This window comes from Homo sapiens, chromosome 2, assembly GCF_000001405.40.
Source record: "Homo sapiens chromosome 2, GRCh38.p14 Primary Assembly".
Classification (NCBI taxonomy): Eukaryota; Metazoa; Chordata; class Mammalia; order Primates; family Hominidae; genus Homo; species Homo sapiens.
Genome location: NC_000002.12, coordinates 140589701 through 140612032, shown reverse-complemented (window position 1 = coordinate 140612032; position 22332 = coordinate 140589701). Strand labels below are relative to the sequence as shown.

At 33.0% G+C, this 22332-nt stretch overlaps 1 protein-coding gene across 4 annotated transcripts in view; it reads left to right on the top strand.

Annotated features, from left to right (window-relative positions):
- The window catches only part of LRP1B (LDL receptor related protein 1B), a 1899594-nt gene that overhangs the window by 1518984 nt on the left and 358278 nt on the right, over positions 1-22332 (top strand). For all 4 annotated transcript variants that reach the window (NM_018557.3, XM_017004341.2, XM_017004342.1 and 1 more), the window contains 2 exons: positions 10394-10583; positions 13198-13402. In NM_018557.3, the coding sequence (NP_061027.2) occupies positions 10394-10583; positions 13198-13402 (395 nt within the window). The remainder of the gene's footprint in view (positions 1-10393; positions 10584-13197; positions 13403-22332) is intronic.

Genomic DNA, 22332 nt, shown 5'->3' with positions numbered 1-22332 from the left:
TTTTTATTTTGTCTTAAACATCAACTAAGTGTGTTTACATTTATACCCTTTCCACTCCATTTAAACATTTTAAGGTCAATTTTATTTATAGTACATTTCAATAAGAAATCTTTCATAAGGTGAGCATTTATTTTTCCTATTGATAATTTTAGTTGGTGAGCCAAATGGTCTTTCCATACATTTTGGGATTGTAGTATTGTGTACACATGCAATATATAGTATTTTCATGTAACAGGTAACTTATTACATAACATTTATTATGTGTATGTAATTTGGACTATATCAAATGGTTTTTAAAATATGAGAGAGTAAATAAGCTTTATTTACATAAAATTCTTAACACCTTTTCATATTGAGTTCAATGTCAAAGCACACTGCTTATTTACTGGAAATTAAATGTTTCTATTCATCTCTTATGTTTCTTTGAATTTTCTGTACTTATTCCTTTTCTTTGCAAAACTTGATGATAAACAACCAAACTCTTTCTACGATCCCTACCATCTGGAATAGCCTTTTTCTGTTTTCTTACTTCATTAACTTTTACCTTTTTAAAAAAATCACTTTTAGTCTTTTATTTACTTTCTTCCCTCTGTTTCTCTATCCTTCTGTCTTTCACATTATACCATCAAAATTTGATATTTTCTAACATTTTAATTTTCGAGTAGTCTCACCACTTCTCCACCTAAAAGATCAGAAAATATTCACATTGCCATCCTACAAGTTATACTAAAATTTAAAGACAGTGTAAGTGGTTCAAATGACTGAGCTTATTACAAGGCATAAGGAACAAATAAACTGGAGCACAACTTCTTATAATAAAAACAGAATTATATTTATAAATCTAGATTGTAGTCTCTTACAGTTCAGAAACTCACTCACATAATTCCTATTATTTCTAGTATTCTACCTGTAGAAAAATGGGGATGATAATTTATCCAACAGAGCTTCAACATTGTTAAGCATAATTGGCTGTAGCTTTGTGTAGAGCAATGTAATAATAATAACAACAATGCTGACATATATTGAACCCTTATTTTGTGCTAGGCACTGTTCTAAATACTTCACAAATGTTAACTCACATAATAATCACAAATGTCTTATGAATTTGTTACCATTACTATCTCTGTATTTCAGACAAGGGAACGAAAATACAGAAAGTCTAGGCTGGGCACTGTGTCTCACGCCTGTAATCCCGGCACATTGGGAGGCCGAGGCGGGCGGAGAGCGAGACCATCCTGGCTAACACTGCGAAATCCCGTCTCCACTAAAAATACAAAAAATTAGCCGGCCATGGTGGCGGGCACCTGTAGTCCCAGCTACTCAGGAGGCTGAGGCAGGAGAATGGCGTGCACCCCGGAGGTGGAGCTTGCAGTGAGCCAAGATCGCACCACTGCACTCCAGCCTGGGCGACAGAGCGAGATTCCGTCTCAAAAAAATAAAATATTTTTAAAAAATACAGAAAGCCTAAATGAATTTTTCCAGGATCATATAGCTAGTAAAGTGGTAGGGCGGGGATTCAAAGCTATTAGCTGAAACCAGAGTTTGTGCTCTCATTCTTCTATATACCTCTCTGATATATTAGGTCTTGGGCATTTAAGAATTAAAGCATAAATATGCAGACCCTGCATTCAGTGGATTCAGAAATACATATTGATTTATTCCACAAGTGATTTTGATTGCTCAATGGATTCAGAAATACATATTGATTTATTCCACAAGTAATTTTGATTGCTTGCTCTGTACCTGGAACTTTGCTCAGTTTGAGGGGAACAACTAAGAAAAAGACAGTCACGTTCCCTGTCCTCATTCCAGTAGGGTGAGACAGGCAAAAACAACACAAACAACACATAAAATTTTAGTACATTGTGAAGGATATTAAAAAAGGGACAGAGGAAATGAAGTAGGTGAAGAGGATGGACAAAGGAACGTCAGACCCGGGGAAGAAAAAGGCAGAGAATATTACATGTGTCAAGAAAAAAAAAAACAAACCTGAGTTTTTATAGATGGAAGCCCTGAAAAGAACACCCTGTGGCCAGGGCATAATAAAAAAGGAGGGACACTAACCCGAGATAAGGTGGAAGAAGCAGGCAGGGAGTAAACCACATTTTATTCTAAATGTGATGGGACATCATTGAAGGATTTTAAGCAGGACAAAGATATGATACATGCTTTTTTATTACCTAGAGTTGCTGGATGGAGAATGAATTGACAAGAATGACATTTGGGAAGGCTAGTTAGGGACAGAAGCTTAGACAAGAGGTAACGGCAGTGATCAGTGTGGAAAGGGAAAACAAAATGGAAACACTCAACATACGTTTTTGGCATAAAATTAAAAGCATTTACTGATGATTATATGCAAAAAGCAAGAAAAAGAGAAGATTGAAAGACGATTGCTTAGGCTTCCAGTCTGAGTAACTGGATAAATACTACTATAATTCACAGATCATTAGGAGAACTAATTTATATGGATAATTAAGATTGGGGTGAAACACTTTTTCTATTTACATATTTTATACTGAGATATTGAGATACCCAAAGATATATTAATTCATGGTTGGACGTACGTATGGAATTTAGATTAGAAATATGGACTAGAAATGAAAACATGTAAATGATATTTAATGCCATGGGAATAGAAGTTTCACATAAGAGAGAGAGGGGAAAAGGAAGAGAGGAGGACCCTAAAGGAAACCTTAAATAATACTTAATTTAGAGGTTGGGTTCTGGTTCATAGCTTTCAGCTGAAGATTTATTTCACTTTCTCACTAAGGAAAGGATGGATCCCAAGTCATTTTCTAATTATATTTCTCAAGGAGTGGCTGTACATATAGGGTCTCACAGCCTCTCCTTGGATGGCGAATTACAGCATACCTGAGGGTTTCAGGCACCGCGGAGTTCATGCTCTGCTCTAGCAGCTCCGGACATGCCAATGTTAGTTTAATCTTCAGAAAGTCGGTGCTTATCTCCGGTGACTACAGAAGGACTGACACAATGATATCACATATATGTTCAATCTTTTCATGGCTTGTATTACTTTCCTTCCAGTAGTAGTGACATGAAATAGAGGCAATTCTTGAGACATGTCTGAGTCTATATAATTTTCAGCTGAGTCTGAAATCCTGGCTGAAACTTTGATGTTGAATATTTTTAAAGCCGGCAAAAGAAATCCACACTGGGTCAAACAAACAAACAAACAAACAAAGAAACAAATCACTGTCACTTTAAAACTTCAAGCTGTTTTAATCTGCTTCAATACTCTTTCAGGGCAAATTGTTTTGTTGTTGTTGTTGTTGTTTTGGGAAAACCAAATAAATAGGCCTGTTTTGCTATGCAGTGTAAAGCAAAGACTCTCTTACAACATGGAAATATTTGAGATGCTCTGGTTCAGGAAATTAAAACTGCTTGGGGGATGACAATAAAAGCTTGCCTTTGTTAAAAATAGAGTTGCATCTCTGCAAACATGTTTGATTTGGGAAAATCATGTGTTTTACTAAGTGCAATAATAAGGACAAAAGAAAGAGTAAGATAATATTGTTCCCCATTTAAGCCCTTTGAAAGGGTTGGATCTCTTCTTGTTAGAGGGGTGAGAACCTAAACTTAACAGATCCACGATCACGAAAAGTAGCATTATTACAATGCCTTGGCTACAAGAAGATCTAAATTCAGGTGATCAACAGTTGCACAGTTTTTTAGGTGTTCTCATTCACTGGAACCAGCAGGATTAGCAGCCACTTGGACTGGCATCCTCTTTCCATTATATATTCTCACTGGTTATTTTTGTATATATACAACTATTGATTTTAATTTACTTATTTATTGCCTGCCAGCTTACCCAACTCAGTAGTTTTTTAGCAGATTCTCTTATGTTTTTCTATGCGTTCACTAACACAAAATAATGAAAATTTTTATTTCTAGTTTAATTGCTTCTTGTTTTAATTTTCAGATTACAGTGTAGATTTTTAATTTGTTTAATTTTTAGTAAATTAGACTGGTGGAAAAAATTATTATTTTATTTTAGATAATAATTTTATTTTATTAATGTATTTACTGATGTGGGGAGAAACAAAAATGACTCTGAGCTTTTAAATCATATTAGTGGTAGTCTAATTCACAGTAAGCAATCCATATTAAAATCTATTGCATCCCATTCATCGATTGAATGGTTAGAAAAAGGAAAATTATCCATGTTAATCATTTGTGAAGCATTCTAATAAGGTAGTCTCAAGGGAAATTGCCAGGTATTTAAATTTTCTATAAAATTTCTACTGGATAACAATTAAACCATATCTACATATTCACATACTTTAAAATAATTTTCTATAATTGTGTCCTGTATGTATATGTATACATATATATATACACACACACGTCTATGTGTGTGTGTGTGTGTGTGTGTGTGTAAAGAGAGGGGGTCGAGTTTAGCATATATGTGTGCTTCAGTTTTTATATTGTTGAATAATTCCAAGCGTGGATGTACTAAATTTTATTCATCCACTTATCAGCTGATTGACATCTGGGCTGTTTCTTCTTTTGGTTATTACAAATAAAGCTGCTATGAACATTTGTTGAACATTTGTGTATGTGTGGAGGTACGTTTTCGTTTCTCTTGGGTATATATTTACTAGTAGAAAAGCTGGGTCACTTGGTAACTCTATGTTTAACATTTTGTAAAACTGACAGACTGTTTTACAAAGAGGCTGCTCCATTTTACATTTCCACCATCAATATATATTGGTTCAAATCTTTCCACATCTTTGTGAAAACTTCTTACTGTTGCAGTCGTCATAATGAATATCAAGTGTGATTATGATTTGCAGTACTTTGATGTCTAATAGTGTTGAGCATTTTTTATGTGTTCATCAGTCATTTGTGTATCTTCTTTGGAGAAATATTTATTCAAATTATTTGCCCATTATTTAATTGGATTAGTTGTTGTTTTATTGTTGAGTGTATAAAGCATTCATTATTTATTCAAGATACAAGTCCATTATCACATAAGTGATTTGCAAATATTGTCTCCCATTCTGTCAGTTGACTTTTTGTCTTTTGAAGCATACAAGTTTTTCATTTTGATGAGATCTAACATCTGTTTTTCTTTTTTCATTTGTATTTTTTGTGTCATGTTTAAGAAGGCTTTGCTTAACCCAAAGTTATGAAGATTTCTTCCTATTTTTTATCCTAAGAGTTTCATCATCTACCATCTATGTTTAGGTTTAAGGTATATTTTTAGTTATATGTGTGGGTGTATGAGTGTGTGTGTGATATGAAGAAGGAATCAAATATCATTCTTTTACATGTGGCTATACAATTGTTGGGAGTACTATATATTTGAGATAATTTTTTTTCTCATTGGACTTTTCTGGTACATGTAGCTGTGTCTATTCTTATTCAAACTCTCTTTATTACTATAAACTTTATACTGAGGTTGAAATCAGGAAGTGTGAGCCCACTAACTTTGTTTTTTTCATTTAAGATTCTTTTGGCTTTTCTGGGTCCCTTGTATTTCCATATGCATTTTAAGGTCAGCTTGTCAATTTCTGGGAAGAAGCCAGCTGGGATTTCTATACATTAAATCTGTAGGTCTATTTGGATAGAATTGTCATCTTCATAATATTAGGCCTTCCATTCCATGAACATTGTTATCTTTCCATTTTTTAAAATCCTTAGCTTCTTTCAATGATGTGCTGTAGTTTGGGTGCATATGTTTTAACATTTAAAATTATTTTGCTAAACTTATTTCTAAGTATTCTATATTTTAAAATTATATTATAAATTAAATTGTCTTTTTAATGTCATTTTCAGATTGTTCATTGCTCTTATATAGAATACAAATGATTTTTTGTATGTTGCTTTTGTAACCTGCATCCTGAGTATACATTTCTATTAAATTATTTAAGATTTTGTATATACCAGTACTTGCCATCTGCAAATAGTGATAGTGTTACTTCTTTCTTTCCAATCTGGATACCATTTATTTCCTTCTCTCTCTCTGTCTCTCTCTCTCTCTTTACCCCACCCCCAATTACCCTTGCTGGAATCTCCAGTTTTAGTCAACATTAGTTGAATAAAGGCAAAAGTGGACATGTTTGCTTTGGTCCTGGTCTTTGAGGGAAAACATTCATTTTCTCACCACTAAATATAATACGAGCCTCGGGTTTTGGTATTCCTTTTATCAAGTTGAGGAAGTTCTATTGCTAGTTTGTTGAATATTTTTATAATGAAAGGTTATTGAATTTTGTCAAATAAGCCCGTCATTCAACCATGTCAAATTGTTGTCTTATTGCAATGAGAGAGACCGTATACTAGAAAAACTATGGCGAATCTCAAAAAAAGGAAGAAAGAAAAAAGGGAGGGAGGGAGGGAGGAAAGAAACGGAGGCAGGCAGGCAGGCAGTAAGGAAGCAGAGAGAGAAAGAAAGAAGAGAGAGAAAGAAAGAGAAATAAAAAGAGAAGCAAGCAAGCAAGAAAGAAAAAGATAAAATAAAGAAAAGGAAAGAAAAGAAAAAAGAAAAGGAAAATAAAAGAAACAGAACTTTTAGAAGATTTTTACAGAGGGTAGAATTTAGACACAATTTCAGTAAGTAGTGTTTTGTTAGGCTTAAAGTAGAGCACAGTTATGTGTACTATTTGTAAAGAGTTCAACATCAGATCTGGATAGTGAATTGGACCTGTATCCTTGGAAACTTCACAGTTAATATAGATGTGGAATATTTTGTGCAGGAACTTCTTATTTTAGGCTCTTTGCCTGGGCTGCAAATTGAGAGTGCTTCTGTGTGTCAAAATAACTCAGATCCTCCAAACAAGATTTGGATGCTTTATACTGGTGATATAATTTCAATCAACAAACTGATATTCTGTGGCTTTGGAGAACAAGCCAGTAAGTAAGAAGGTAGTACACAATCAAGGAGGACTTCATTATGATGCTTTATAGTTGTAGCATGTCCTTGAGATAAATGTTATTTTCTGCTAAATTTGTGTGTTAGTCTGTTCTCATGCTGCTAATAAAGACATACCCGAGACTGGGTAATTTATAGAGAAAAGGAAGTTCAACAACTCACAGTTCCACATGACTGGGGAGGCCTCACGATCATGGTGGAGAGTGAAAGAACAGCAAAGGCACATCTTACATGGTGACAGGCAAGAGGGTGTGTGCAGTGGAACTGCTCTTTATAAAATCATTAGATTTTGTGAGACTTTTTCACTATCACGGGAACAGCATGGAAAAACCTGCCACTGTGATTCAATTACCCCCGACTGGGTCCCTCCTACAACACATGGAGATTATGGGAGCTACAATTCAAGATGAGATTTGGGTGAGGACCCATCCAAACCACTTTGCAACTGGATTTACCTGCGACTGTTTTCCTAGCCGGATGAATACCAGTGTTTAATGGACGTGACTCCCTATGAATAATACCCTTCACTGCCTTTCCCATTTGGTAAGCTCTTATCCTGTCTTTAAGACAATGTGCAGACCAGAAGGGGCTATTGCTGTTCTTCAGTGGTGATGAGATGAAAGTATGTTCTCTATGAACTGAAGTCCTTTGGATAGCTGCAAGAGTAGTGGTTTATTTCTCTGCCAAGCTATTAGAATCAATTTCCCTATCATGGCTATGGAAACTAGAATCCAGGAAATAGGGTACAACCACGGTTCTGAGTTACTTGCCTGGCTTGTATTTTTTGATGTGCTGACCTCCCCTTATTTCTTCTGCAAAAACATGTCAGGACCTGACTCATGCTTAGCCAATCTCAATTCCCTGCTCAAAAGTGGGTAAGAGGGAAGAAAACTCTTTTTTTTTTTTTTTCTTGGCAAGTGCATGAGGTAAGGAGACAGGATTTTTACTGGTTTGCATTATATTTCATATGCCTATTCTACATCCTTGAGTTCCAAGAATTTAGCCCTGTATTGATTTACTCTGCTCAATATTTCAAGTCTGGTTGGGTAGATAGGCATTTTATTTTATTTTCAAACTACATAATTGCCTTCCAGAATCAGTAATTCAAAGTCCTATTCTGGCTGTTCAACTGTTTTAGGAATCTCAATGTTCAAACACAGATGTGTGTGCACACACACACATATACATGCCACATGCCCTCTCACTGTCGATAAATAATCACAAAATTGAGAAATATGTCTTATCTCAACTAAAATATTTCAATAATTTTAATTGGCTTTTTGTTAATTAAAATATAATTTTATAAGGATCTAAACATCATTTTTAGAAAGAAGTACATGACTAAAATATTTTAAAATGTAGCAACAGATCATTATTAACTGTAATTTCTGTTTATCATCTATTACAAAAATAAAGTAAAACAGATTATATGTGGATATTGAGATGTATTATGTTCTCTAGTAACTCTGGAATTATGTTAACCATAGAAAAGAAACATCTGTCACATCTCAATGGTGATACGAAGTGTTTTCTTCCTGAATTGGCAAGAGAAAGTTACGAAGAGGAAGATATGTCATGGTTACTGGAAGAGAAGATGTAGAATCAGGATGGATTATTCTCATTTGCTTAAATTTTCTCAGAGCTATGCCATTTCTCATTCTATTTGTGAACGATGAAAGGCGTGTAATGCTATAGATACTACTACTAGAGTTCATTGCATTTCTGAAATGATTTGGAAGTTTAAAAAATACACTGGCAAAGGTGATTTATTAATTAATGATTTAAACATCCTTAACCATGATCAACTTTTCTTCCACTCACTCCAAATAGGAGAACTATGTGCATCACATAAAATTAGCTTAACTGATTTTACAGTGACTGTGTTTTATAATTTTTCTTCCGTCATCTCTAGGCTACATTTTCATACTAATCACCCTCATTAATACCTTGTAGACTGCTTTGTTGACTGTGTGAGAGGAGACTATCTATGGTATATTACTAGATATACAATTCTCCTAGAGTCAAACAAGTTAAGACTAATGAATCATTCCTTTGGTTTCAGGTTGGTATAGATTGAGGTTAAGTAGTAACCATTATAAACCCATATCCAAATAGTGGTGCTACTAAGAACATAGGCTTTTGGAATCAGGTGAATGGGGGAGCCAGGCGGTAAAAATTTTGTGTTAATATTATCAGCCCTGTGACTATAAGTTTCAGCTTTCTTCTTGGGAAATGGAAAATTATGACACAAACTTCACATTTTATTTTATGTATAAAATAAAATGATGTATGAAAAGCAGTTTTTATCATTTCTAGCATGTGGCAACTAAAATGATAGCCATTAATTGCATTATTATTGGATATTTCATGTTGTATGTAAAAAAAGAAATAAAAAAATATGAAAAAAAACATTGTTCAAAAACTTTAATTATTGTTTTGCCCTCCCACAAAATCCTATTGATCCCCCCAAACTAAATATTAACTCATCTTAAACCTGGAAACAGCTCTTTTCAGATACCTATTTTTATAGCAGCTGGATAGTTCCTATTAGGGATTCTTTGAGAGAAAAGCAGGGGAAATGCTCTGTCTGTAATAATGTTAATTTCTTGGTATGACTGAAAAAAGTGTATACGTTCTTTGTTAAATTAAACATGCTCAGAATAATAATTCTGAGTAAAGCAAATAACATGTAGGAAAAGTGTAATAATTTGATTATACTTAAAGATGCACTCATAGCATGTCTGTGAAAAATAAAACAGCTACTTATGTTACCCTAGAGATTGGGAATACAATTTTAAGAAATAATTACTTTTGTTTTTCACCTTGTCACTTTTATGTATTAGGATCTGTGTACCATCATTTATCTTTGTCTGACATTTAAAGCATGCTTTAGCTGGCAATTAATTTCTTTTTCTCTTGCTTTGTTTTTTTTTATCTCATTAGTTGGATAGAAGCAAATAAATTGACACATTAACCTATTAAAACATTATCTACCACTGTTTGATAGTTGCAAGTAAGGAGTTAGATTTTGGATTTCTCATACTGTTGTAGTTTTCGATGTGTTTGCTTTTCCTGGACATCTCCAGATCTATAGTATCAAGAGAAAACTCATGATGATTGTATCTAAGTCGTATTGCTGACATAAGGTTTTCCAAAACATCTCTAAGTTGTTGCACGTTGGATATTTTTGAAAATTGATTAAGATACAAGAAAGAGAGCCACCATTTTCCAAAATGAAAGGCAATTATTTAATTTTATTTTATTTGTGAGAAGATTAAGTCTATAATGACATTTTTTGCAAAAATTGCTCCCATTATATATGTATAATAAGCTGTCAATTGTAGGTATCACAATGACTGCATTTTTATTTTGGAGATTTTGTGGAGAAATGGTTGATGAAATAACAGGTATACATGTATGTCTTAAATGCTTTTTCTGTCCAGAAGTCATTTTTTTGTAAATAAAAGTATATATTTTTTCTTTTTCTTCCCCCACTAGATGTGGGTTCTGTGGAAGGACTTGCCTATCACAGAGCCTGGGATACACTGTACTGGACAAGCTCTACCACCTCATCCATCACCAGACACACTGTGGACCAGACTCGGCCTGGAGCATTTGACAGGGAAGCTGTCATCACCATGTCAGAAGATGACCATCCACATGTGCTAGCCTTGGATGAATGTCAAAAGTAAGAAACAGTGTAGTTTTATTTCTTCATTATAGTTATAAGTCAAAAGAATATCAGAGTTCTGTTAATTTTAAGAATTAACTTTAAAAATAAAGTTTTTATTTGAAGTTTTATTTTCACAATTCATAAAACTTTTTTTTTTATGTAAGAGCATTATAAATGTGAAAAATCTGGTCCCTTTAAAAGCCAGGCTTCATCTTCCTGAGAGATCCAGTAAAAACAAATTTAAATAATTAAAGGCAAACTAGAGACAATACCATGCTGGAAAAGGCCTATGAAGAAGACTTTAATACATAGCTGATTGGAACCATATATTTAAAAAAATTAACATACACGGAAGACTAAGAGTGTTTTTTTTTTTTTTGCATTTTAATCAAGTAATTATAGCATCTGGAGATCTCCCAAATTGCAATACAAAAGAAAGCAAACTGCAACCATACAAAAATCTTTGTGTGCAGCTATTTTTCAGCACTAGGTGCTTGATAATAGTCTAAGTAGTCTACAGCTGTTTGATGATATATTGTACAGACACCTAAAATAATGCTTGTAAAAATTTCATGACAAAAGAAAATGCTCCGGATATAAAATATACTCAGTGAATAAAAACAAAGAAAAAAATTGTGTTTTGGAGGATGTCTTAAAGAAAGCAGTTATGTAAAAAAAAAAAAAAAAAAAAAAAAAACCCCGAAGAACAAAGCACAGGTAAGGAACAAAAAAATACCTATCTATGGACTTTCACTCTCATATACAATATGGTAAAGTTGTTTGTTAACTATAAGAAAATTCTTTTTATTTTTAAATGAAATGAGTAAACAAAAATCAGACCAATCTGGCCTTCCTGAGCAAAACTAGAAGAGCTAGAAGAGTTCGTTTTAGGTGTGATTAAAACAAAAAAAAGATTGAAGAATAAAAAGCAATGACAGATAATCACTGACCCAGACCACTTGTCAGAAGAAAGGACTAAATAACAGAAATTGGTCAGTGTGAAAATAGTTGTAAATCTGAACCCTTTTATAGAGCTAAAAGTGAGGTCAGATTTAATTCACTTAATTGAACATCATCTTATATGTGAAAATTCTTAAGACTGAGCAATGTAATGACTCATGGAGCTTGGGAGACTGCTCCCACCACTGTCCTATGAGAATACGGTTTGCTGACTCAGCTGCATTTACCCCAACACATCACCAGAAGAATCTCAGGACAATAATAAATGTCCCACAGTAGGAATAAAAGAGTTGGGCAAAGGAATTTGTAAGTCAGTTTTGAAATAAAAATAAAGCAGTCACTCATGATATTATATATGATGAGTTTTAATTAGCAAGTGTTTTATCCTGTAATTATTTATTACATAGGCTAACATTTACACTTTTCACCTTGCATATGGTGAACTGTAAATTAAAATTAAACACATAAAATATTTCAATTTGATAATTATTTGTAAATAAAGTATAATAAAGGCAATTTATCATCATATATGTAAATGACACCTTCAAACCACCATTGTATGTTAATAGATTAACAGATATTTTAAAATGAAATCCTAAATCGCAAATCAAAGTTAGGTTCTCTAAGTTTAAAATTTGGCTCAGTTACTAATTATTTGTGAAAACTTTAATTACTTAAGCTCTCTGGGCCGTTCTGTTTTCTTACCTGTGAAATGAAGGGGGGAAATGAAAGGAACACTAACACCTCTAAAATTCTCTTATTATAAAGCCTACAATCTAGGAAAATATTGTAAATAAATTGTGAGTTTAATACTTTACATTCTATGCATAACTTTTAAAATGTTTTAATTCAGTATTTTTTATTTTAAATGTCACAACTTATAAGTAAAATTACCAACAATGAAAATTGAATACAAACATTTTTGTTGTGAATTTGAAAATTATTTGGTAATAAGTGTCATAAAATACTCAAAACCACATATTGAATAACTTTGTTGGCTGTAATGCTAAACTGCCTTTAAATGGTTATACATGGGAATCCATAGAGAACAGATACTATGCTGAAGGATTTAAGAGTCACTCCTAGAGTTTTAGAAATGATATTGTAATTTATAGAAAAATCACACTGAGAGAAAAAAAGAAATGTAAAAAACAGGAGTTTAGTAATTTTCTTTCTCCAAAACATATACAAAAGAGAAGGCAGAATTTAAAAAGTAAAATTGGAAGGGGAAGAAGATTTTTATTTTCATCAATTGAAGCAAATAAGTATACTTAGGATAAGAATGATTGTACTGGATCAGCTGAAATGTGGTAATAAGTTAGGGTATATTTGCAGTTTGTGGAAAACAAACTTAAGATCACTGTTTTGTTCTTGATTAAAATAAATCCTCATTATGCATCTAACAGTTTAACCAAATTATCATTTGAAGGAATACACAGGATAATTATTTTTTAGAAGTAGGTTCTAGGTTTCATTTAAGAACCTGGGGAAAATTAACATGCATATATAATATGCATATCTCCTTTTATTACCTAGACTTTGTTAAAGATAGAATATGAGGTAAATAATTCTGCTTCTTTTAAAATAGCTTGGTATTGCCATGTTTCTATTAGTATTTTTACTCTTGATGAGAAGTTTAATTTATAGTTACAATTTTCATTTTAATTAGTTTAATGTTTTGGACCAACTGGAATGAACAACATCCAAGTATCATGAGATCTACTCTGACTGGGAAAAATGCTCAAGTGGTGGTCAGTACAGACATACTCACTCCAAATGGACTTACTATCGACTACCGTGCAGAGAAGCTGTATTTCTCAGATGGCAGTCTAGGAAAAATTGAAAGGTGTGAATACGATGGATCCCAGAGACATGTAAGTTAATCAGGAATTTCTTGGTTATAGAGTTATACAATGATATATTTAAAACATGTGATTTATACTCTCCTAAAATGTACATATCAAGGAATTTCAAAATAGCCAGTTGATTGAAACAATCCAATTGAATAACTAATCTATCACACACATAAGAAAATTGTGGATAGTATTTTGAAAACTTCTTTCAAATGCATTTGCTACCATAGAGACAGCTCAACACATAAACTTTTTCTGGAGCAATAGTAACTAATTTCCTTCTAGTTATTAATAGAACTGGAATTGTTAGAGTGATTTGCATATGCTTCATTGTTATGTATAGTTTTTAAAAATGTGAAATAAAATTGATTAGTTGTCCCAGGATAAAAGAAAATTAGAAAAGAATGAAATGATCCTCTGTGTTTGTGTCCTTAAAGCAACCTAAGAAGCTCTGAAGAGAGGAGAATGGGTCAAATCTGTTCTAATCACTGGACTCTCTTTTCTCTGGGTTCAAAATGAAATGTTAGTGGAAGAGTTGCTATGCTATCCCTTGAGAGCACTTACAGCAGGTATTTAGGGCCTGAAGAATGGTGAGATGCTAGGGCGCCCCCTTGTCCTGTGAGGAGTAGCTGCCTTGGTGACTGGGAACCTCAGTGGTTAGATCTGGGTGGCTACAGCACTAGAGAAATCTGGACCCATGTCCCTACCACTGTACAGGCCTGAAGGACAAAATGATCCTCAGGCTCCTCATGCCTCCACTGCACTGAAGAAGGTCTGGAATGTAACACAATTTTTTTCTTAAAGGGCCAGATAGTAAATATTTGAAGCCTCATGGACCATGTGATCTCTATCACAACTACAGTGTTTCACGGCACTAACACAGACATAGAGAATATATAAATGAATAGACCTGACAGTATTCAAATAAAGTTTTATTTACAGAAACAGGCAACAAATCAGCAAATTCTATACATATAGAACAAATTCTCTATGGCTAAGCACACTGTTTAATTCAGTTGAAGATTGAATTGACCTTAGGCAAATTATTTAGCCTTTATAAACTTTAGATTTCTGACATGCAAATTTTCTTTCAGGGCAATTATGAAGATATAATGCAAAAGTATATGACTCAGAATGCAGCATAGAAATTCTAAATAAACCTAGTATATAATGCTTTTGAAAAGACAGGTAAAACATTGTCCTGAATGTGGTGTCATTTTTTATTATGTCATGATATTGAAAAAAATGAGTTTATAACTCATTCTCCTCAATTGATTTTTGTATATACCTATTTTGCACTTCCCCACCCATTTATTCTTATGTATGGTAATTATAGCTACAGTAAGTGGTCGAGTAATAAGATAGCACTAACATAATTTAAAGGATTTTTTCTGACAGTTAAAAGATGTGCATTGTTTAATTGCAACTCATCATTTTCCATCCCTGTCCAAGGCAGGATGATTTCTGATTGGGCCCCGAAGTTAGAAAACTATTTCAAAGTTTACTGCATTCTTACATGCATCTAGATTACCTCATCTTTATCCTCATATGAATTCAAATTAATTTTTAAAAGTTAATATTTTTGTTAATAAAATGAGCAATACATTTTAAAAATTCTTTATTTTGCAAAAGTTAATTTAGGGACTATTTATGGACTGTTTTAAAGACTTTGTGCAGATTTATTAAGACTTCAGACTGTATCAATTTACTAATCGCCCTACTAGCTAAATCACTGATTGCTAATTGTGTTCTAGATACTGTGCCAAGCACTTTATATTTCATGTTTTTATAGCCCTCCCCGTGGAAGGCATTATTATGATGATCCCCATTTGCAGATGAAGAAAATGAGGCACAAAGAAGTTTAGTACTTGTTCGGGAACACCTAGCCACATACGTAGCAGGAAGGTGATTCTACCCCTGGTGATCTCACTTCAGCGCCTGTGCAAACCATCATGCTAAATTTGAAAACACTTAAAAAGGACCCAACTAAGTGTACAAAACATGACCACTTCCTCATGCCTTGCAATTAGCAATACATTTGTTCTCTCCTTCTTCCTCACATATCTTTAATATGTTACCCATAAACACTTTGCACAGTAAATATTTCAATTCATTACTGAATATGAAACTATGCCTAGTAAAATTTGAAGTTCTGCTGATTTACGTAGTAAACCAAGTAGATTTACTCAACTTGTCAGCAGACATCACATTACTTTGATACACATTTTAAGAACATCAGTAAAATCGACAGGGAAGAAAATGAACAGCATCCAACTCTAAGTGACACATTATCCCCTTTAAAACTGCTCTCTAATAGAGACATAGAGCTTCTGCGTAATCTTTTTGAAATACTCTTTACATAGTTTTCGCCATTATGTCAAGACAAGCTAATCATTTGAAGCTGGGGTCATCAAAGCTCTTTTAAAAGAGAAAGATCACTATTGCACCCTCACACCATTGCAAGGACCTTTATTATAACTTTGTGTCTAAAACTGTTTAATAGATATTCTGAAGCCTTAGACAGATGTTACAGCAACTCTACTATGGCCTGTTATATAAGAATTTTCTCTTTGCTTTTAGTATTCTTTTCACTTTCATGTTTAGATATACCCATTGCTTAGCTGTGTGACAAATAGTGCAATCAGGGAAGGGGAAGACTAAATGCTTATTATTCATTTCAGAAATTAATATTTATTAAATTCATATTCTGTAATTATTAGTAAAGATAATTTTACAAAATAAATACTAGAATGAAAGTTGGAAGTTTACTTCTTTAAAAATTATACTTTTTATGCAATGTTAAATTTAATCCTCACATTTGGTATTGACTAATTGCATGAACATTACCAAGTCATTTAAAATCCTTATGCTTTTTTAAAAATGTAATTTTATTTTAGATTCAGGGAGTACATGTGCATGTTTTGTTTATTACATGGTATAATGCATACTAGTGGGAATCAAAGCTCTTATACTTTATAATTAATTTAGTTGTAAAAACAAATGACAGCTAAAATCAACATAATTGTGATGTTCTCTAATTTTGTGGAAATTAGCAGAAGTCATTGTTAATTCAAAAAGGTAAAATAAACGTTCTTTGTCCCCATATCTAGTTGAGGAAGTAAAACATATGCTCAAAGATAATTAATGATATGGAATTAAATCTGCGACATTTTAATGATAATTCTCAATATTTTAATTCTCAATCTTTCCTTGTTCTGAAAAGCCAAAAATTCATACACAGGGTGTTCTTTTATAAATGGGACCTTTATAAACAGCACTATCATTTAGTGTGCTTGTACCTAGATTTGCCTTGAAATCCAACTGTTATTGTTAGTTCGCCTTGAAAAGAGCAGATAATCTAACACATGCCAGTGTTCACAGGAACCAGTGACTTCCACTTACTACATGAAATGAAAGCATTGTCAATTGTTGTAATCCATTCAAGCTGCTATAACAAAATATTACTCCTATTTTTTTCTACTCCTTATTTTATTCCCTTTGGGCAACCATACTAATATATATATATATATATATATATATATATATATATATATATATATATATTCAATTTATATTTTATTTTTAAGTAGATCTGCAAAACAACAGGATAAATTCCATTTTTATATTTTGGAGTACACTGTAAAAGGCACTGAAGAAATGTGTGACAGGTAAAAACTATAGATTTAGAAAGAATGATATTTAGGAAATAGAAAGTATAGTTACGAAGATTGAAGGATTCTATAAAAGACTTAAAATAGTCACCATGAAATATAAGAAGAGACGCAAAACATCGTTCATTCTATAATGTCAAAAAATGCTGAAGCAATACAATAAAAAGGAGTGCTGGAAAAGTGACAGTTACAGAAGGGAACATTTATTTTGCATAATTGCATATTTTCTAACTTTGGGTAAAGCAAGTGATAGCAGAAGGCAATCTCAAGAGTAGGGAAATCAGATATCCCCAGGGGAGTGAAAAGATTAGAAAGAAGCTAGACATCATAATCTGGAATATTAGATACAGTGTATCTTTAATGAGAAAGAAGTAACCTATATTTAAGTTAATTGATTTTAAAGTGTTGGAGAGATTCTTATAAATTTAGACCTTGTGTGCCCTCGAATGCAGTATGATGAAGTGGGTCTTCCAAAGCCTGTTGGAAAAGTGTTCCTTCTTTTGAATATCTTTAGGAATTAGACCATAGTCAAGTAAATTTTCAAAACTATGTTTTAAACAAAGTCTGATAGGCTTAGTCATTGCATTACATCTTAAAGCTTTTAATATGCTCGTGAACATTATGAATATTCTGAATGGAAAACAGCATGTAGCTTTGTTCTGATCAGAAAACAGATGATTTTTGCTTGTTTGTTTTAATTTTTTTAACATGGGCCAGGCGCGGTGGCTCATGCCTGTTATCCCAGAGCTTTGGGAGGCTGAGGCAAGTGGATCACCCGAGGTCGGGAGTTCGAGACCAGCCTGACCAAGATGGTGAAACCCCATTTCTACTAAAAATACAAAAAATTAGCCGGGCATGGTGGCACGTCCCAGCTACTCGGGAGGCTGAGGCAGGAGAATCGCTTGAACCCAGGAGGTGGAGGTTGCAGTAAGCCGACATCATGTCACTGCACTCCAGCCTGGCAATGGAATGAGACTTTGTCTCAAAAAAAAAAAATTAACATGATGTGTCATGGGCATGTGTTTGTAGAGATTTGAAAAATGCTGATACACTATTTACAACTCACACTTACAACTCATATTTATCATATAAATATTATATAACCCATTGCTTATCAGTAGACCAGAGAAACAGATCCTTTCAAACAGCAAAAATAAATCAAAAAAGGGTTTTTTAAATACATTTTTATTTTTTGATTTTTTTAATCTGAAGTTTAATAAACCCATTAGTTTTTTTCTATCAAACTGAATGTCGAGTTTTATTATTCTGTTTTATCTTAGAATGTGGTCACAATAAAATACAAGTCCGCACAGTTCAATTTTGACTTGCATTGATAAAAATAATATGATTGGCTGGGTTTTTCTGATTTTAATAACACATTAACTTATGTGGTGGTTCTACCTAAATATCGAGGAATGCATTCTTTATTCAGTGATAGGAAACTGAATGTTTTTGGGAAATTTAGTTATTAAGGCAAAAAAATCCAGAAAATAATTCTGTAATGTTTCTTTTTAATTTTTTCTGTTTTGTATCTATCATCATCTCTGTTCGTTCCAGTAGCTGAAACAATAAATCATGTTGACAGGGGCTAAGACAGCATGATTATAACCTATCTCCCTGCAGTTACCCTGTAAGTGTTAATCATTTCTTGGAAAGTATGTGCTACCTGCATGATACAAACCTTTCCAAAAGAGATATTTATGTTCCTAGAAATTGGAATTGCTCATGTTTCTTACCACTGACATTCTTTTAAAAACTGAATCCAAGATTGTTTAAGGAATATATTCCCAGGAAGAAATCTTAAATCTTATGACTTTTCTTTAGAATGAAAAGGATTTTTATGACTAACTTGACCCCTAAATAAACATGCTCTGATTACATGAACTCTTTTAAGTAAGAATAGGAGAGCAAGTTAAATAAATAAACTAGTTTTAATTCTAAGAACAATCAGAAAGTAATGAGATATTTTATCTTTTTATGGCACTAAATATTTCCTTTCTACTTTGTGTGTATGTGTGTGTGTGTGTGTGTGTGTGTGTGTGTGTCAGGATCTCACTTTGTCATCCAGGCTGGAGTTCAGTGTTGTGATCAAGGCTCACTGTAGCCCTCTAACCCTGGGCTCAAATGATCCTCCCACTTTGGCCTCCTAAGTAGTTGGGACTACAAGCCTGAACCACCATACTTGGCTAATTTTTTACTTTGAGTAGTGATGGGGGTCTCTCTATCTTTCTACTTTTAAAATCAGTTGTTTTATTCCATAAATAAATCAAGGCATCAACTTATCATCTATATGCATCTATATATTTACCTATCTTCTATCTTTCTTATCTATATATCTACGCTGTCTTCTTTTATTGATAATATAGTTTTAATGACGTTCAAGGGCCTGAACTCTGAAACTTACAGAATAAGTTTTGATGCCCAGAAAAGTGAATTTTCTCACAACATAGGTTTGAAATGCTTACCCAAGTCAAAACCATTTGCTATCACCAAAGACAAGAAAGAAGATGAGTGTCAACTTCTAAAAAAAAAAAGGAAATATTTGATTTAAAAATTAAAGTATAAGTATAAGCATCCATTTCAATGAACTGAAAACCTTTCCACCATTAACTGGAATAAACCAGTATTATTTCACAGATTAGGAAACAGGCCCAGAAAAGGTAAATTAATTTCTAATGTTACTATGTCTAATATTTAATGCCAATTATGGTTCTTAACTCTCTATTAGAGCCAGTGATCTTTATTTTTAATTTAAAAACTTAATATCCTTATTTCTGTTCTAATAAAATTTTATATTATATCTGCCTTTATAAATAACTTTTCCAAGTTCTATTTAGTACCTGAACTATAATATAAAGGAGATATATAGAAAAAGTAATTTACAATGAATGATACATGTCCCAGTACACACTAAATGATCAAAGGAAACATGAGAAAGTGGTCAGATATTTTCACATGCATAGACTCATCATGAATGTGACAGCTGTGAAGGCAGATACATATCAAGTAGGTTTTACTACTCAAATACTGAGAGTAGTGCTGACTTGGGTGATAGGATTTTCAAAACTGATGATGAGTTCTTGAAAATGTTGTATACAAAATGAGATAAAGTCATCTCTCAATTTACATAGAAGTTATGGTCCCTGAAAAATAATAAGTATATATTAAATCTCCTGAAATACTTATGTATATATGTAAAATGGAATTAAATTCTAGGATCAGATAATTATAAGCAGGTTTTCATCTTTGAGAATATCTTGTAGGACATTTGAAATCTGGGCAGAGTCTCAGACAAGTCGTTGTACAGAACTGCTCCGTGTATTGCAGGGCATCCAGATTCCTGGTTCTTTACCACTAGACTATATAGCTATCATCCCCACCTTACCCCACTCCTATTAAGCAAAAATGCTGCCAACATTTTCCAAAGTCGTAGAAGGAATAGGACTGCCTTGATTGAGAGCCAATAAGATGGGTAATTGTCTTAAAGGGAGATATGAAGAAAGTTCTCCTGACAGCAGTGATCTTTCTATTCTGTCTCACATGCCTCAAATACATGGGATGTTGGGTCTGTCAATAGCTGGATAAATCATAGACAAGAAGCAGAGTACCTAACTGTCAGCATAAGACTTCTCTGGACTTTAATTTTAACAGATCAGCCAATTGAATAGATAGAACTGTATATATCCAGTACCTTTTACATGATGGACATTGCAATCAAGTATATTATAAAAAAGCCCATTATCTACTAAATTCTGAGAGGCTGCTGGATATCGGACGTTTTGTTGTCTTTGACATTTTTCTGAACTCAGGAGGCATCATTCAATATTCAGACTATTAGGTCCAATATTGATTTCAGTATATTTTAAGTATTCTTGGGCATGAATAGTTATTCAAATTATAATCAGACCTTAATAACTTTCTAATTTATTTAAAAATGATCTTTATAACTTTCTAATCTTTAGAACAGTAAGTGACTAAATAGAAATGTGATAAAAGTAAAGAATACAGCAAGTCTATGAATTCTATTAATCCATTAAAAATTATCATGTAAAACATATTTTTCCATGGGGAGATTTAGTATACATTAAGTGATAAGCGTAGAGTGAACACTTTAATATGCTGTCTCTCAGGCTAGATGTATAAAAATATTTCTTGAATGAAAAAATGAATGCTGTTGTCTTAGTGTGCTCTGTTTGCCATAACACAATACTTTAGACTGGGTGGCTTAAAAAACAGAAATTTACTTTCTCACAGTTCTAGAGGCTGGAATTCTGACATCAGGGTGCCAGCATAGTCAGGTTGGTGAGGGCCTCTTTTCCTGGCTTATGGATGGTCATCTTCTCACTGTGTCTTCACGTGGCCTTCCCTTGATGTGCATGGGGACTGGGTTGGGGGCTGGGGAGAGAGAGAGAGAGAGAGAGAGAAAGAGATCTAGGCCACAAATTCTATAAAATTAGTAACCTACCCTTATGACCTTATTTAATCTTAATTATCTCCTTAATGGTCATGTCTCCAAGTACAGTCATATTGGGAGTCAGGGCTTCAACATGTAAATTTTGCAAGGAGGCACAGTTCAGTCCATAGCCACTATAAATCATTTTCTATAGGAAAAAAGCATTCATCTATATATATATATACACACACACATTTGTATACATTATATATTACATATAAATATATATTATATATGCATATATAGATATATATACATATATACATTATATATTATGTATATATATATACACATTTAAAAATTCCCAAAATTGTTAATAGAAGCCTTTAGGTTGTGAAATTATAAGTGATTTGTTTTTACCTGTGTGCATTTCTAGAACAGATAACAAATATTAATGAGTGAAGGACGACATATGCATTTGTGCTTATGAATTTTTAATTAAACATTTTTATTTGGAGATAACTGTAGATTCACATGAAGTTGTACAAAGTAATACAGAAGGATCAAGTGTACTCTTTACCCAGTTTTCCCTAATGATTACATCTTGGAAAAGTATAGTACAATCTCACAACCAGGGTATAGACACTTATGTGGTCAAGATACAGAACATTTCCTTCATTCCAATGATCCCACATGTTGCTTTTTTGCATAGCTGTGCACACTTCCCTTCTTTCCCACTCCTTTCTTAATCACCTGCAACCACTAATTTGTTTTCCACTTCCATAACTTTGTCACTTTAAGAAACTTACATAGAAACTTTGTAAAGAAACTTTATAACTTCTTTATAAAGAAACTTTAAGAAACTTATATAATGGAATTATATAGTG